This window comes from Homo sapiens, chromosome 3 (genome assembly GCF_000001405.40).
Source record: "Homo sapiens chromosome 3, GRCh38.p14 Primary Assembly".
Lineage (NCBI taxonomy): Eukaryota > Metazoa > Chordata > Mammalia > Primates > Hominidae > Homo > Homo sapiens.
The window spans coordinates 150,652,378-150,670,272 of NC_000003.12; the positions used below are offsets into that span (position 1 = coordinate 150,652,378).

A 17,895-nucleotide genomic window follows, 5' to 3' on the forward strand; every position below is an offset into this window, starting at 1 on the left:
CAGCTTTATTGGCTAATGCAATTTGCTCTCCAAATGATGATACCAATTTTCATTTTCTCCAAAGGTATTTGAGTGTTCCCATTGTTTTTCCATCCTTGCTCCTGGATCATCATTATTGGGTAGGATAGAGAAAAAACGCATAGTTTGATCAACTCTGCAGGTTTTAAAAATTGGCACCCCTTCAAGAAAAAGACAAGCGTCTGTGGATTAAAATCCCAACTCCTTACCCTAGTGCACACAGCTGCCTTCACTGGCTCCTCCTACCTCACCAGCCTCACCTTGCACCACGCTCCCTGTCATGCACAGTGGCCTCCTTTCTAGCCCTGGAGTGTGCAGCCAAGCTCATTCCCATCTCAGAACTTGATGTTCTTTCTTTCTGGAACACTCTTGTCTCAGCTCACTGTGCAACTAGTTTCTTCTCCATTTTTACATATTGGCTCCTCAGAGAGGCCTTCTCTTACTACATATGTAAAGTAGTCCCCTGCTTACCTGATTACTTACTCCTAACACATTCTGAAATTATTTCCCACTGGAATATTAACACCACAAGGGCCATGTACAGTGCCTGGCATGTGCTAAATTTGTATTGAATGAATGAATGTACACACTGATGCCTTCTCTACCATGCAAACCTGTTACCCTTTCCTATCACTTCATTCTTCATCCTTCCTGCATTTTGCTGATCACTGGCATATAGATTAGGGAGAATGCAGAGGAACCTGGTAGTGTCCTAAACAGAGGCTCTAGCCAGTGTTGCCTTTCCTTCTGAATGTCCCAACGTCTCATGCGTTGGTTTCATCCACCACTGAACCTTTCACTTTGCGTTGGTTTCATCCACCACTGAACCTTTCACTTTGGATCAAAGCCAGGCCATCTCCTTCTACCCTCAGTGCCTGAGATGAAGCTTGTGACTCCTTCTTTTGCTCTCTACCTTTCCAGAGGTCATTGTGGCCTCCTTCAGTACTTGGTCAAGGACAGGATTTGCCTGAATCATTTCTGGCCCTTTCTTGCTAATCTGATGGTGTGGGCAAGTCCTCAAGGGGTTGAGCACATACTTATTATCATCTGGGTATTTGTGACTTTCTCGTCATCATTTGAGTCACCTGTGATTCTGACTTCCAGTCAACATACTCATGGGTTAATTATTGCTTCTGGAAAAAATTCTATGATCATTCTGAGATGGGTCATTTGATTCCTTTGCCTTCTTTGCTCCCTCCTCCCTCCACCCGCACATGACATCTACTTCCTGAGCTGAGACATATGCTCTCCTTTTAGTGCTCTCTGTACTTCTTTTTGTCACTGAGCATACCTCATTGTTTTGTCATGGCCTCTTCTTGTGTCCTGTTTTTCCTGAGGACAGGAAACTATGAGTTCTAAGTTTGTATCACCAGTACTTGGTATGAAATAAGCAATGAATAAATGTTTATTAAACAGATGAACAAATGAATGGATGGAGTAAACTCTGAACCTGGAATTAAAACTTTTATTAACACATTCGGTTTATATAGAGACAGTGCCAGTGCCAGCCATGTTTCTGAGAAATTTGTTACCAGTGGCAGCTCAACTCCAGAGAAAGCCAGGTTTTTCATAAAAGGATTGAAGTGGGAACTAGGCTTTGATATGAATCTATTTTAATCTACTTTCAACCCACTCTGTCAAGCACTGAATAGAGCAGCAAAGAGACAGTAAGAATTTTCCTCCATGGCCATGTATATCTCTTGTAGAGATTTCACTTTACTTGTTCATTCATTCATTCAACATTTGTCAGGTGCTAATACGCATTCATACAAACAAGAGATCAAGGGGTTGATTATGTTTCCAGCGTGTTGCCCCTTTGCTTAATAGTTTAACAGAGGGAAGCCTCTGTGTTATTTTGAAAATGACACAATTGGGCATCGTCTCTGAAGAGTCTGGATGGATGTTACACTGTGGTTTTTCATTTCCCGGTGTCAGTCCTATAGAGCAAGTATGTGAAAAGTGGATCCCTGGACTTTTCTGTGCATTGTCTAATGCTGGGTCACACGACAAGGTGTACTATAGATGCTCTAGTGATTTTCTTGCGTGACTGTGAACACACACAGTCCTCTCATTACCTGCTTTACACTTGCCAGTTTGGCTCAAATCAAGGTATTCCTAACTCCGGGATTTCACTCTGTGTTATACGGGAGAAACTGAAACAACACTCTTTCTAAGGAAACGTGTAACTTGAGGAGGCCGTAATCATTTATTGATTATCTTCTCATTACAGATTGTATTATCCCAACCTAGCAAGGGTATTAGGTCTTGTGACTTTTTTTTTTTTTCTTCTTGAGACAGGGTTTTGCTCTGTCCAGCCCCTTACGGCATTTTGAAAACAGTCTTACTCCTCATTTCATATCTCATTTCATATTATTTTCTACTTGCCTCACTGATATTCACCTATTTTTAAAGTATTTTATTTTCCTATGTTGGATATATTCCTAAAAGACACCTTATATCATTTCTGGAATAAGACAGAGATAAGAAAAAAAAAGCATAATATTTGTTGTTTCACAGGGAAATGGAACAATAGAATGACAGAATGATCAGGACAAAATTACTTGGTTTGAAGTAAAATCTATTGTTTACTTGCCCTTGGTGTACCCTCTAACATAGTTGAAGAAAAATACAGTTCATTTCTGTTTTTTTGTTTGTTTCTTTTTGCTTTTTTGAGACAGAGCCTCACTCTGTTGCCCAGGCTGGAGTGCAGTGGTGTGATTATAGCTCACTGCAGGCTCAACCTCCCAGGCTCAGCCTCTCTAGTAGCTAGGACTACATGCCTGGCTAATTTTTTTGATTTTTAGTAGAGATGAGGTCTCACTATGTTGCCCATGCTGGTTTCAAACTCCTGAGCTCAAGTGATCCTCCTGCCGCAGCCTCCCAAAGTGCTGGGATTACAGGTGTGAGCCACCATGCCCAGCCAGAAATTCTGTGTTTCTAAGAAATTTTTATTATTATAGTATAACATTTGCTTCTGAATGTTATTGGCCATCCAAATCCTATTAATTTTATTTAAATACATCTATTAAAACAAAGTAGACTCCAATAGCCTTTGCTTAATTATTTTTTTAATAAACTAGTAGTAAATTTACTGTGAAAATGAAAATCCTAACAGTTTCACAAGATATTTATTTCCAGTTTACTAACAAACAATGTGCATTTAATTTTGTTGGCTTATTTTGCAGTTCTATAATAGAGTTTTTCTGTGGCTTTCTTTTGGGAACAAAAATTCCATTTACTTTCTATCTTTCAAAATTCTTATTGGCAATGACTAATTCCCCTGTGTGAAATTTCACACACACACGCGCACACACACACACACACACACACAGAGAGAAAGGACTGGAATGAAATTGAGCACAATATTAAAGATGGCTATCTGGCCCAGTGCTGTGGCTCACACCTGTAATCCTACCACTTTGGGAGGCCCAGTTGGGTGTATCACTTAAGGCCAGGAGTTCGAGACCAGTCTGGGAAACATGGTGAAACTCTGTCTCCACTAAAAATACAAAAATTAGCCAGGTGTGGTGACATGTGCCTGTAATCCCAGCTACTCGGGAGGCTGAGGCACAAGAACCACTTGAACACGGGAGGCAGAAGTTGCAGTGAGCCGAGATTGTGTCACTGTACTCCAGCTTGTGTGACAGAGTGACACTCTGTCTCAAATATAAAAAAAGGTTTATCACTATTGTTATTTTGAATTATTCAGTTCCCTTAAATAAGTCTAACTGCCTTGAAATATGAGACTGATAGATAGATAGATGTTTTCCACTTGGGAATATTTTCACTTTTAATAATTTTTAAAATAAGTAATGTAAATTTCTTATAAATCAAAGAAAATGTAAATCAAATTAAATGACTGAAATGAGTCTCAATCATTTTAGAGGTTTATTTTCCCAAGATTGAGGATGCACCCGGGAGAAAGGAGCACAAAACCACAGGAACATCAATGACCCATTATTTTTCGAAATAAGGTTTGAGATTTCAATATTTATTTATTTGAGAAAAGTCTGGCTGTGTCACCCAGGCTGGATCCGCCTGCCTCAGCCTCCCAAAGTGCTGGGATTACAAGCATGAGCCACTGCACCTGAGCTGAGATTTCAATATTTAAAGGGGAAAGAGTGGGTAGTAAGGGAAAGAGGAAGGAAAAAAAGGGGGAGGAAAAAAAGAGGAAGGAATAAAAGGGGCAAGCAGTTGCATCTTTTGCGTCTTTGATCAGCATTCACTGAATCCACATTTTACACGGGAAAGGAGGGGATATAGGAAAAATTATGCATTCATCTCATGCTGGTGGATCTGCATTTTTATATAAGATAAACATAGAGTAGAGGAAGTAGTCAAATATGCATTTGTCTCAGGTGAGCAGAGGGATGACTTTTCCCTATGCCTGTGACGAGAAGCTGTTAATTTACATTGTCAGGTTAACATTCAATGAAGCTGTTTCAGGGTAAGATTTTGGGGCCCCCCAAAAGAATTTCCTTTTGAGTAAATTGTGAAGGAAGTATGTAGCCTTTTCTCTTTGTAGCTATCTAATTAGGAACAAAATAGCAGTTTTGCGTGACTTAGTTCTCAAGCTTGACTCTTTCCTTTGGCATAGTGAGTTTGGAGTCCTGAGATTTTTATTTTCTTTCACATCCTTATTACATGTCATTAATTATCATTTAGTAAAGTAAATAACATTCTGGCATTAGACATGAAGCAACATGGTAAAAGACGCTGTCCCATTATCCTGCTAATCTCAGCAAATCAAGGCCTTTGGGGCTCAGCACCCCAAAAGTGGTTTTTAATGATGTACAAAAACAGATTTCAATTAGGGCTTTGTTGCAATTTGCCCTTATGTGCAAATTTTTAGTGTTATTCTGATACATTTTAGCTCAATTATTTTAATATCTCACTTGATAGAAGCTAAAAGTTTACTCATCAATGAAAAGGAAGAGGCTAAAGGCAAAATGAAAAAAGAAAAAGAGAGAGACTTTAATGTAGATTAAAATGTGAATCTAGGAACCTCTTTTTCACAACGATAGCAGTGGAGAATGGCAAAAGTGAAAATAAAAAATAAAATAAAACAGAATCCTCAGTATTAACAAAATTCCTAGAAAGAAGGCTAACTAAAGGCAGGAAAAGAAAAAAAGGGAAGTTAATGGATTAATAGCAAGAACCAGGCCCCCAATCTCCCAGTCACTCAGTTTCCCTGGAATACTCTATGCTTCCACTTACTCCATTCCTTTCCATTCCCTCTTGTATTTCCTCAGGTAGCTCTTAGCAGGGAAACGATATAATTTGACACTAAGTCGTGAATGGTGGGTAGGCCTAATCTCTCTTGTTCCACACTAGCACCAAATTTGGAATTCAGTGTAAGGAGTGTCCCCTGAAACTACATTTCACCCTCTCCCAAAGAACAAAGAGTTGAGAAGTAAGTCCCAGGAAGTGCAGGAGCTGCAGAATTCTGGCGCCCTTCTATGTCTTGAGGCTCCTCCACCTCCAACTCTCAACTTTGCTTTCTGTTCTAAAGCAACCCTATCATTGAACTGGCTGAGGTGGTAGGATCACTTGAGCTTAGGAAGGTCGAAGCTGCAGTGAACTGAGATTGAGCCACTGCACTCCAGTCTGGGTGCCACAGCAAATCCCGTTCTCAAAATAATAATAATAATAATAATAATAATAATAACAAGAGGCATTCTTGCGTTATTAGGCTGGGGTGGCTCATCTGTAATTTCAGCACTTTGGGAGGCCACATTGGGAGGATAGCTTGAGCCCAGGAGTTCAAGACCAGCCTGGGCAACACAGTGATATAAGAGTTAAAAAGGAATTACTTAGGCAAATAATGAGGGTAAGGATGTCCTCAGTAAGGTTTTCCTTTTAATGAAAAGCAGCCCCCAAATGATTTTCTTTTCTAACAAAGAGCAGCCTGTAAAATTGAGCTGCAAACATAGACAAGCAAACTGAAAGCTTGTATGGGTGAATGCTGGCAGCTGTGCCAATAGGAAAAGGCTACAGGGACTAGGCATGTTCAAAATGGTGGCTCCATCTTCCCTTCTCTTTGCCAGCCACGTGTACAGTAAGAAGCAGGCAACATGGTGCCTACCAGGCAAAGACTCCATTTGCATAATAAGATTAGGGTGGGGCAGCCAGTTTCCCTGTGCATTATGTAAACAACACACCTAGTCCAACCAAACTATGGGCCCTATGTAAATCAGACACCGACTCCTCAAGCCTGTCTATAAAATCCGGTGCCAGAAGTCCCATTTGGGCTCCTCTGTCTCTCCCAGGAGAGAGCTATTCTCCCTTCTCTTTCTTTTGCCTATTAAACCTCTGCCTTTTTTTTTTTTTTTTTTTTTTGACATGGAGTCTCGCTCTGTCACTCAGGCTGGAGTGCAGTGGCGCGATCTCAGCTCATTGCAAGCTCTGCCTCCTGGGTTCAAGCAATTCTCCTGCCTCAGCCTCCTGATTAGCTGGGATTACAGGCATGTGCCACCACGCCTGGCTAATTTTTGTATTTTTAGTAGAGATGGGGTTTCACCATATTGGTCAGGCTGATCTAGAACTCTTGACCTTGTGATCTTCCCGCCTTGGCCTCCTAAAGTGCTGGGATTACAGGTGTGAGCCACCGTGCCCGGCCTAAACCTCTGCTCTTAAACTCACTCCTTGTGTGTGTGTGTCTGTGTGCTTAATTTTCCTGGCATGAGGCAATGAACCTTGGGTATCACCCCAGAAAATGACACCACTTCAACAGTGAGACCTCATCTCTTAAAAAAAAAAAAGTAAACCAGTGAATGCTCAGAATTTGTTCTAAATTGATAATATAGCATATTTCTTGGTATTTTAGTCATTTTGTACACTTTTTTTGAATCCTCCCTGTATTATTCTGGGGTCTCTAGAGGGAAAGAACTACTAGGATAGATGTATATATGAAGGGGAGCTTATTAAAGAGTACTGACTTACACCATCACAAGATGAAGTCCCAAACTAGGCCTTCTGCAAGGTGAGGAGCAAGGAAGACAGTCTGAGTCCCAAAATCTCAAAACTAGGGAAGCCAACAGTGCAGCCTTCAGTCTGTGACCAAAGGCCTGAGAGCCCCTGGCAAACCACTGGTGTAAGTCCAAGAGTCCAAAAGCTGAGGAACTTGGAGTCTGATGTTCGAGGTCAGGAAGCAGCCAGAACAGGAGAAAGTTGAAAGCTGGAAGACTCAGCAAGTCTGCTCGTTCCACCTTCCTCTGCCTGCTTTATCCTAGCTGCGCTGGCTGCTGATTAGATGGTGCCCATCCAGGTTGAGGGTGAGTCTGCCTCTCCCAGTCCACTGACTCAAATGTTAATCTCCTTTGGCAACACCCACACTGACAACACCCAGGAACAATACTTTGCGTCCTTCAATCCAATCAAGCTGACCCTTGATTGATACTAGCCATCACACTCCTGATCCTCCCACCCCAAAAAAACTTCAACCAAAAAAACCCAAAAAAATTCAACAAAACAAATGAAAGCACCATCATTCTTAGTTAAATTTCTTCATTTATTATATTTCTTATTGTCTTCATTATATCTTGCTTTATACCAGAACTGTGACAAAGGGCAATTAGTTTTAGAGAAAGTGAAGAAAGGTAGGAAGGTTGCTTTAATTTTTCCCAAACCTGGCTTGAGGGAAAATTCACACATCCTTCAAGTTTATGAAACAGGCGACGGATCTTTATTAAACTGGCCAGCAGAAGAAGGTCATCTCCACTTACGTATCGGAGGATTGGAATCTCCTCAGGGTTTGGTAGCTTTTCAGCAAAGAGAAAGAGAAGGAAACTCAGAGTCCAGAAGTGGAACTGGGGAGGTGGGAGGAGCTGAGTCATGGCACTTATGTGGGGTTGGATTCCCTGATGAGGGTCCACTCTAATTCATCCGTAAGCAGGGGCGGTGGTGTTATTCTACTCTGAATGAAGAAAGAGCTGAAACACTGTGGAGACTTGAGAGACCAAATGGAATCTGGATACCTTCAAAAGCCTATAATTTATTCAAGTAATTTAACCAGCACCTACTGAGGGGATCACAAAGATGCCTCAGACACAGTCCCTTGCCTGGAAAGTACCCAGTGGGGGAGGTAGGGTGAGTGCTGGTCTGAAGGCTGGGTGCTCACTGGGAAGGCACTGAGAAGGGCAATTTTCCGCAGAGAAGGTAGGACTGGGAAAAACTAAAACTCCCTTTCCTGCTCCTAAATGTGCCCCAACCTCCAGGAGGCCATTCCAAATTAACCTCTCCCTTACTCTTCTTTGGCCTCTGCTCTCCCCACTCTCTCACAGCTTTTGACGATTCAAGGCTGGTGTTGTCTTCTTGCAGCTGCAGAAGCCTAAATGGATTTGCCAGGACAGTCTTGCCTGAAGTGTTTTCAGTCTGTAGCTTCAAAGCCAGCCTAGAAGGGGCATTTAGCCTCTCTGGGGCAGGTTAAATGCAAGCAGAACTACTACCCTCTGCAAGCTAAGTGACCACTTACCTGCAAAGGTGATACTTACAGTATCATTTCTGTATTTCACTCCTCCTTCCATAGAAAGGAAGGAATAGAGGAAGGAAAGAGTATGAGATGGACAAATAACAAAGAATAGTTCAGAATCTTTTACCCCAAATATCACACCATGACAGAAAACTTTTTTACAGATTAAGTCAATGATGGCTCTAATAAGAAAGATTTATCCCCCTGCCCCCACCTTGTTTCCAGCGGGGTTGGAATAAGAAAGATTTCATCGGCAGGATAATTTTAAGGAATTCCTGAAAAATCAAAAAGCAGATGAGACCATATGCATATAGAGAGAAATGACGAAATGAAACCACTAACCAAAAACACATATACTCTGAGCTCAAACTCAACAGAAATGGGAAGCAGGATGGAGTCTGAGGTAAACATTAGGCTGATCAATTGGGAGGCAGGCCCCTCACCTTTTCCTTTTTGTGTTGAGCACTGATGCCCACAGGCTGAGGCTGGCAGCGGGCACTAGCGCTAGCCTTCTACCCCTTAGCATCTGAAGCAAACTTTAGTAAGCAGAACAGGGAAACAGGAATTCTCAAATTCAAATTGAACACACAACTGAGAATCACCGAATATTTGACGCCACTAAAGAGAGGCACCAGATTTACCTATCAGAGAAACTTATACTCAAGGAAAAATAATTAGGAGATAGAGGAAGACTTTAGGAAATATATCCATATTTATATAGTTAATATTTTCCGAGGGACTTGAGAGAATATTGTTAAGGAAGAAAAACAACTAGAGGATTTGGAAGTTAATTCTATGCATATTATAAAAGATATGTTAATTTTAAACTAACCATTAAAATATAGTGTATTAAAAGACTGAGTCTGTTAGCTGGGCATGGTGGTGCATGCCTGTAGTCCTAGCTACTTGGGAGGCTGAGGCAGGATGATGGCTTGAACCCAGGAGTTTTCAGTTACAGTGAGCTATGGTCACGCCACTACACTCCAGCCTGGGTGACAGAGCAAAACCCTGTCTCTAAAAACAAACAAACAAAAAAACCACTGAGTCTGCTAGGTTGAGGAAAGGAACACAATCCAACTATATGTGGTTTGCCCGAGAACATATAACTCAAAACTACATTAAAAAGGTTGAAAATCAAAGGATGAAAAAATATCAAACAAACGCTAACAAAGAGAAAGCAAGTGTAAGAATTTAACATCAGATGGAATAGCACTTAAGGTAAAGGCCACTAAAAGGGAAATTAGGAATAACACATGTTGATAACATTACTACCTTTATTGTCAAAATAAAAACAAAACCCTCACTAATACACTAGGGCGCGTAATGGGAACAACTGAAGAGCGAATGAGTGAGGGGAAAGAATGGGCTGGCCCTGGCGAAAGGTACAACTCACAAAGAAGAGAGTCAGCATCTTTAATTTCCTGATCACAGAGCTTCAAAATATATACGGCAAAAGTTGATTGAAATACTAGAAACAATGAACAAGTTCACAACCATTTTGGGAAACTTTCATACATTTCTCAGAAGTAAACCCAATGACACAAAAATAAAAGGATAGAGAGGGAGGTGTGGCTAGAACAACTGGACATAGAATTTTGTACCAATAAACTGTACAACTTTTTTGGTTAAATATACATGGAACACTTATAAAAATTATGTAACCAACCACAAAGAAAATATCAATATATTCTAAACAGGAAGGAAAAAACTGCAAGTCATATTTCCTGACCATTTTGAAATTAACAAGAGAGGGGTAAATCTTTCTATCTATTTGAAAATTCAGTGACTACTGCATTGAAGTCAAAATGGGTATTCTAAATTATTTAGAAGTGAAAGAAAATGACAGCACTATATATTAAAACGTGTGGCAAATGACCAAAGAGGCACTCAGAGTGCTAGGGAGAAGGTGGGGGTGGGTGTGGCTGGTTTTGATGGGTTGCTCAGAAAAGGACGCTGCGCAGAAGCCTGAAGGAAGTGAGGGAACAGCCACATGCTAAATGGGGATAAAACATTTTAGGTTGAGGCGACAGCAAATGCAAAGACTCTGTGACAGGAACATGCCTGATATTTTCAAGGAATAGCAAAAAGGCCAGTATGGCTGGAACAGAATGAGTGAGATAAGATAATACAGAGAGATTATTCAGAGAAAGAGGTCCAGATTGTGTACAGCATTGCAAGTCTTTATAGGGCCTTGGCTTTTACTCGAGTAAAATTAGAAGTCCCCGGAGAGTTCTGACCAGACTTACGTTTTCAAAGTATCATTCTAAGTATTGTGTTAGAATAGACTTTGGGAAGGCCAGAAGCAGGGAGACTTATTAGGAGGCTATTGCAATAATCAAGCAAGAGATGGATCAGGTAAAGAGGCAGACAAGAATGATAGCACTGGAAAATGTGAGAAGTGTGAGACTCTGGAGGTATTTTGGAGGTAGAGTTTACAGATGAGTTGGTATGGGACTGTGAAACAGCGTTTAGAGTTGTGAAACTACTCCCGAGTTTTTGTCCTGAATAAGTGAAAGAATGTAGTTGCCATTTTCTGAGATGGAGAGGACTGAGACTGGATCAAGTGTTGAAATCAAGTTCTGCTGTGTTAAGTTTTTTCTTTTTTTCCTAACAGGGTCTTGCTCTGTTGCCCAGGCTGGAGTGCAGCAGCACAATCACGGCTCATGCAGCCTTGAACCCCCTGCCCCCACCCCGCCAATGGTGGGCTCAAGTTATCCTTTCACCTCAGCCTCCCAGATAGCTGAGACCACAGGCATGCGCCACCATGTCTGGAGAATTTAAAAAACGACTTTCATAGAGATCGGGTCTCACTATGTTGCCCAAGCTGGTCTCACACTCCTGGGCTCAAGTAATGCTCCCGTCACAGCCTCCCAAAGTGCTGGGATTACAGGCATAAGCCACCGCGCCTGGCCTGTGTTTTTTTTCATGCCCCCTTAGAAATCCAGATGGGTATGTTGAATTGGAATCAGAGACTTGCAAGTCTCAAGTTCATAGGAGATCTACCTGAAGATACAAATTAAAGGGCTATCAGCATGCAGATGATATTTAAGGAAGTGAGACTCAATGAGATAATCTGATAATATAATCAGATAATGAGATTATCTGAGATAATCTGAGGAGTGAATATAGAGAAAAGACCACCCAAGGACAAGCTCTGGGTTCCTCCAATATTTAGAAAAAGGGGAGATGAAGAGTAATCAGGCCAGAAAAATGAGAAGAAACAGCCTGTGAGGTACAGGGAAAATCAGGGGAGAATAGTCTTGGAAGCAAGGGAAGAAATGATTCCAGGAAGAAGAGATCATCAGTGTTTAATGCCACTGAGAAGTCATTAAATTTCATATAAATTTAATATTTATATTGAATTCAATATTCTTCAAAATGTAGACACAAATAAATCTTCAATACTTACTAAGTGGGAAACAAAAACAAATAGGAACCCCCATCAACAATATAATCTGTATATTATCTAATTTTTATGTTTTAAAAAAGATGTATAAAATAGGCTGGGCACGGTGGCTCACGCCTATAATCTCGGCATTTTGGGAGGCCCAGGTAGGCAGATCACCTGAGGTCAGGAGTTCGACACCAGCCTGGCCAACATGGTGAAACCCCGCCTCTACTAAAAATACAAAATTAACTGAGTGTGGTGGTGCACGCCTGAGCCCCAGCTACTCAGGAGGCTGAGGCATGAGAATCGCTTGAACCCGGGAGGTGGAGGTTGCAGTGAGCCAAGATCACTCCACTGCACTCCAGTCTGGGCAACAGAGCGAGACTCCATCTGAAAAAAAAAAAAGATGTATAAAATAATTTATAAATACATAGTAAGAAGGAAGGTACACACTAAATTTTGTGTGGTGCTTACTTTGGGGAAGGGAGTTAGAATAGAAGAAGAAATAAAGGGAATCTCATTTTTTAAAAAATTATCTTTATTTCTGTATTGTTTGAATCTTTAAATCTTTAAATATAAAAATATATTCACAAGTTGCTTGTAATTAAAAAAAAAACCTAAAGGGTGATTATGAGAACAATGAGAAAAGTAAAAAACTTTAATAATGAACTCTTCCTTTTGCATCAAAATGACTCTTTTTTGATTAAAATTAATTTCTAAGTGGGGAGAGGAAGGGAGGTGCAGGGGTGGGGGAAGGAAGTAGAGGGAGAGAGAGAGGGGAGAAAGAAGTATTTTTATATTTTGTGTAAGAATGTATTTACTATGGATGTAATGTAACAAAAGGAGGGGATACTGCAGATTTCTAACCAAGAAAGAAGTTTGTCTGGAGCCTAAAAATTTGACTGCAGTTTCCAGACTTACTGAAAGGAACTGGAAAAGTGCTTAGCACATTGTAGACCCTCGCTCTATGTTGCCTGAATTTGAAATCTCCCCTTTGTTTGGTGGTCATGAGATATTCCTTCCTGTGTTGAATATTGAGATTCTATTTCCACATACTTAAAAGTTGAAGGCACTTTTGAAGTTTGGAGCTATGTCTTCCTTTAAAAATCAATGAAACAGGCCTTACATGGTGGTGTGCCTGTAGTCCCAGCTATTTGGGAGGCTGAGACAGGAGAATCGCTTGAACCCGGGAGGCGGAGGTTGCAGTGAGCCAAGCTCGCACCACTGCACTCCAGCCTGGCGACGGAGAGAGACTCCATCTCAAAAAAAAAAAAAAAAAATCGACGAAACAGGCCGGGAGTGGTGGCTCATGCCTGGAATCTCTGCACTTTCAGAGGTTGAGGCAGGTGGATTACCTGAGGTCAGGAGTTCGAGACCAGCCTGGCCAACATGGTGAAACCCTGTCTCTACTAAAAATACAAAAATTAGCCGGGCATGGTGGTGGGCGCCTGTAGTCCCAGCTACTCAGGACGGTGAGGCAGGAAGAATTGCTTGAACCTGGGAGGTGGAGGTTGCAGTGAGCTGAGATCGCGCCACTGTACTCCAGCCTGGAAGACAGAGCAAGGCTCCATCTCAAAAAAAAAAAAAAAAAAAAATCAATGACACAAAGGTCCTTAAAGTTTAAGGGACCTGTTCAAAGTCACACACTATATGTGTTATTTATGTATATAGCTATACATCCATCTCTATTTGTATCCATCTCTATGTCTATATTATTTTATTTAGTGCCAAGTACCACCCTTAGTACTTTGCATTCTCATCAAATCTTCACAGCAATCTGTAAGGTCGGAATCATTATTCCATTTTATGGATAAGGAAACTGAAGTTCAAGCTCACTCAGTCAAGTGGCAGAGCTGAGGTTTGAAACTACAGAGAATCTGCAACCTGAATTCCACGTTCTTAACCATCGTGCATTATTGCCGGTCACTGAGAGTGTACTCAGGGCTGTGCCCTGGGAGAGGCACTGGAGTTACAGAAGTCAACAAGATAGAGATTCTTCCTGTCAGGAGCTTGCCATCCAGTAGGAACGGCAGCACTGTTCAACAAGCACGGGGATGGTGGCAAGTACACAGAAAACCCACAGAAGGATGTGGTTGAGGCTGACTGGGTGAAGGACTAGGAGGTCTGGGAAGTGTCTCTAAGGAGACAGGGCTTATGATTGGTCTTGAACATGATTCAAACTCAGGTCTCCTGACCCAACCCAAGTCTCTCTACCATGGCGGGGAGAAAAACAAACACAATACGAAATCTTTAAACTAAACCCCCAGAGCAGCACTACTCTGGCACAGAGCAAACACTCAATAAGTGTTACTTGGATCTGAGTCTGAACTAAAAGGAATTTCAGAGTAAGAAACAGTAAAGCCACCTCAATTCCATATGAAGCTTTCATTACATGTTTTTCCATTGAATTCCAAAATCCTAGTGGACAGTAGATTATGCACTAGTGTAATCTATCAGTAATAATACTAACAAAAGTTAGTTTACTCTTATTATTATTCTAAATGCTTTAAACTGTTTTTAAAAATGTACCTACCTTCACTTTGGTTCCAACACTGATTCTTGCCTGTTGGCCCATTGCTAGAAAAGTTATAGAAATCTTGTCTTGTTCTAAGATGCGGACTCCAATATAACGGTTCAAAGCCAGAAAGACAGGTTTAAATGAAACAAAGGGTGAGGAAGTGATGGAATTTGACCAATTCCAAGCCCTTATTCTGTTGCCGGCTTGATCTGAATATTGACCTCCCAAGATATTGATGTATACCCTGGTCAGGAAGGAAATGTAAATATCATAAACAGTAACACTGTAATTAAATACTGGAATTATCCCTGTCACTTGCTAACCAAGGGGAGTAACGGTTTATGCCAGCGATTAGCAGGAGTGGTGGAAACTTCAGGTAATCTTAGGAGTGATAATACTATGACTAAATTCTACACGAATCTGAAGTACTGTATCCTGTTTGAGTTCATACTGATAAACTAAAATGGGTCCAAAGGATCAGCCTGGGATGAAGGAGTCTGGAAGGTTGAAGAGGGAGCAGGGAAGGCTTAGTCTGGAGAAAATGAGATACAGAAGAGTAGATTAATCCTGAAAGAGGAGGAAAGACCAGTGCTTAGATTTTCACCACACCGAAATAAAGACCTGTGGCTGTAAATTCTGGGGAAGGCTGTGTTGACCTCAGTACAAGAGAGCTGTTTTCTGGCAATTCCCAACTAGGAGCTAGGAGTCCTTCCAGGAGTCCTCCCATCATGGCTGAATGTGGGGGCAGAGGCTCAGGGAACACCTCTGTGATCACTGCAGTGGAGAAGAGGTCTGTGACAGAGCAAAGGTGGACCTTAGACCCACGAGGCGACCCCATCTCTTCAGACCATGAATGCCTTACATTTTACTACATCACGTTTAGCCCCTCACCATCTGAGATCTGGCAGCACTAATCGCTGTGCCATTCTATTCAGTTATCTCCTTCTCATACCCTCTTACCATCCCCACCTTGAGGAGAGACAGTAGATATAGTGTTCTGGGTACTCAGAAAGTTGGCTTAATTTGATAATAAATTATTTTTTGAAAACTAGATGACTTGGCCATGGGGACCCCTAGCTAACATCTCATGTTAGAGATGTTATTGTTATACCTGTATATAACTTAAAGGAAAAGACCTCTTTCTAAAAAGTTCAAAAAGTTTAAATTGTATTTGAAGTTAGAACCCAAATTTCACTTTGTCAGGCTAAATGAAATAATATGAAGTTACAGAGTATATACATAGTAGGTTAAATTGGACCCAGTATTGATCAGTGGTAGTAATCTAATAACAAAAGCACAAATGAGAAACTGAGGTGATTATCTGATTGTGTCTAGGAAGGGAAGATTTAGTTTTATCTTGAAATCTGGGTGAAAATAATATCCAGCTAAAATTATCTGGCTAAATCAGTCCCTTGTTTATTTAGTAAACATTCTTTGAGTCTACACTATGTACAGATGTGCTGCTATGTAGTAGCAAAGATTCAGGATGTGCCCTCAAGGAATGTCTGTCAAGTAAGGGAAATGGACTCACTACACAAGAGGCAGAGAGGGCTATGAGAGTATCAAGGAGCCATCTCAGGGTGCCTCGGAGTTCAGTTTATGGGGCAGGGGCTTCATAAAACCAATCTGGAAGAACCGATTGGTTTCCAGTCTAGAAACCAACGAATATTGGTGACAGTATAGCACTGCATCAAAGGTAACATAGAATTGCTGTAGAATCCTGAAAGATAAGTAGAAAGTTTCCAATATACATGGTGGTAATGAATTGACTACTGCTGTGGACGAAAAACACAAATAGCTCGGTATCCTAACTTTCTGAAGGACTAGCAGTATATAAACTTCACCAATTACTGGCAGAGGTTCCCGAGATGAGATTGTTATACCTGTATATAACTTAAAGGAAAAGACCTCTTTCTGAAAAGTTCAAAAAGTTTAAATTGTATTGGAAGTTAGAACCCAAATTTCACTTTGTCAGGCTAAATGAAGTCACAGAGTATATACATAGTAGGTTAAATTGGGACCAGGATCTTAATTTCTCTGGAGATTTTGTGTGTATGTTACTCTTCTTGCTTGTGGCTATAGGAAGCTTACTAGTTAGGAATGTATCTCAAACAATAACAACATAGTGTATCAACTGTCTATTGACAAGTTGTTTACATAGATGAAGCAGAATAACATCATCAGGGCACAGGCTCTAGAGACTGCCTCAGTTACATCCCAAATCCCTAGAGTTACCATATCATTTATCAAGTTTTTTTGTATGTTGTAATTATATAGTTCATATATTCTTACTATGTATAGAAATAATATGATGAGCTTTATTTTTATAATTGCTTGGGATTTTTCCACTGAAAAGCATACGGAATGGTGTAAACCAAAAATGTCTCTGAGTTGAACATTACCATCTAAAGAACACTAACTTAAATAAATCTTCTGAAACCCATTCTTATCATTTAAAAAGAAAAAACAAAATTTCCCAGAACAAAAGCCACAAAATGGCAGCAGCAGGAACCTAGAAGCTTACCAGACATTTCCATTGGGATGATAGCAGGAACTTCTGCCAGAGGAATCCAGCACTGCTAGGATAGCAGGGTTAGTGGGCATATCTTCTTGGACTATACAAGTAAAACCATTTACCTTGTTGGGCACTCGAATGATGGCTAGGTTTCCAGATGGATAGCTGAGATCAGATAAGGTCATATAAATTGTTCTAATGCTCCTTGACTATTCTGGGAACAAATTCAATTTATGAGAGAGCACTCTGAAATCATAAAGCATTCTGAAAATGGGAGGTACTATATTAATACAAAAGATTTTATGCTTTTTATGTGGATCAGAATATACTCATGAGATGCAAAAATCCTCAACAAAATCTTGCAAATGAACTGTCACAATATAAAAAGGATTACGCACCATGATGAAGTAGGGTTTACCCCAGATATGCAAGGTTGGTTTAACATCTGAAAATAACTTAATATACCATATTAATAAAGAGCAAAAAACACAAGGTCATCTCAACAGACACAGAAAAAGCATTTGACAAGTTTCAGCCCTCTTAATAATAAGAAAACTCAATGGATTTCAAATAGGAATGAATGTCCTCAACCTGATAAAGAGTATCTACAAAAAGCCCACAGCTGGGCTGGGCATGGTGGCTCATGCCCATAATCCCAGCACTTACGGAGGCCAAGGCAGGAGGATTGTTGAAGCCCAGGAGTTCCAGACCAGCCTGGGCAATATGGTAAGACCCTGTCTCTACAAAACAATTTTTTTCATCTTCAGAATTTTGATTTTTTTAATTTAAAAAAACCCACAATTAAAACTATACTTAATGGTGAAAGATTTAGTGCTTTCTTCCTAAGATCAGAAACTAAACAAAAATGTCCACTCTTACTACTTCTATTCAACATCGCACTATTAATAGATGTTCTGGCTGGGCGTGGTGGCTCACACCTGTAATCTCAGCACTTGGGGAGGCTGAGGCGGGTGGATCATGAGGTC

At 40.7% G+C, this 17,895-nt stretch overlaps 1 protein-coding gene across 3 annotated transcripts in view, besides 1 other annotated feature; it reads right to left on the minus strand.

Annotated features, from left to right (window-relative positions):
• Window positions 882-1,021: an enhancer, noted in NCBI's record as "active region_20694". NCBI's record gives its function as "activates an Ori minimal core promoter by ATAC-STARR-seq in GM12878 lymphoblastoid cells {active_cell/tissue: GM12878}" and the evidence as "EXISTENCE:reporter gene assay evidence [ECO:0000049][PMID:35858748]".
• ERICH6 (glutamate rich 6) overlaps window positions 7,508-17,895 on the minus strand; it is a 44,036-nt gene continuing 33,648 nt past the window's right edge. For 2 of the 3 annotated variants that reach the window (NM_001308234.2, NM_152394.5), the window contains exons 12-14: window positions 16,919-17,074; window positions 14,410-14,638; window positions 7,508-7,778 (exon numbers count right to left, since the gene is read on the minus strand). In NM_001308234.2, coding sequence (NP_001295163.1) covers window positions 7,515-7,778; window positions 14,410-14,638; window positions 16,919-17,074 — 649 coding nt within the window. In that variant the 3' untranslated portion in view covers window positions 7,508-7,514. The remainder of the gene's footprint in view (window positions 7,779-14,409; window positions 14,639-16,918; window positions 17,075-17,895) is intronic. The other variant, XM_005247120.4, reaches the window with a different exon arrangement.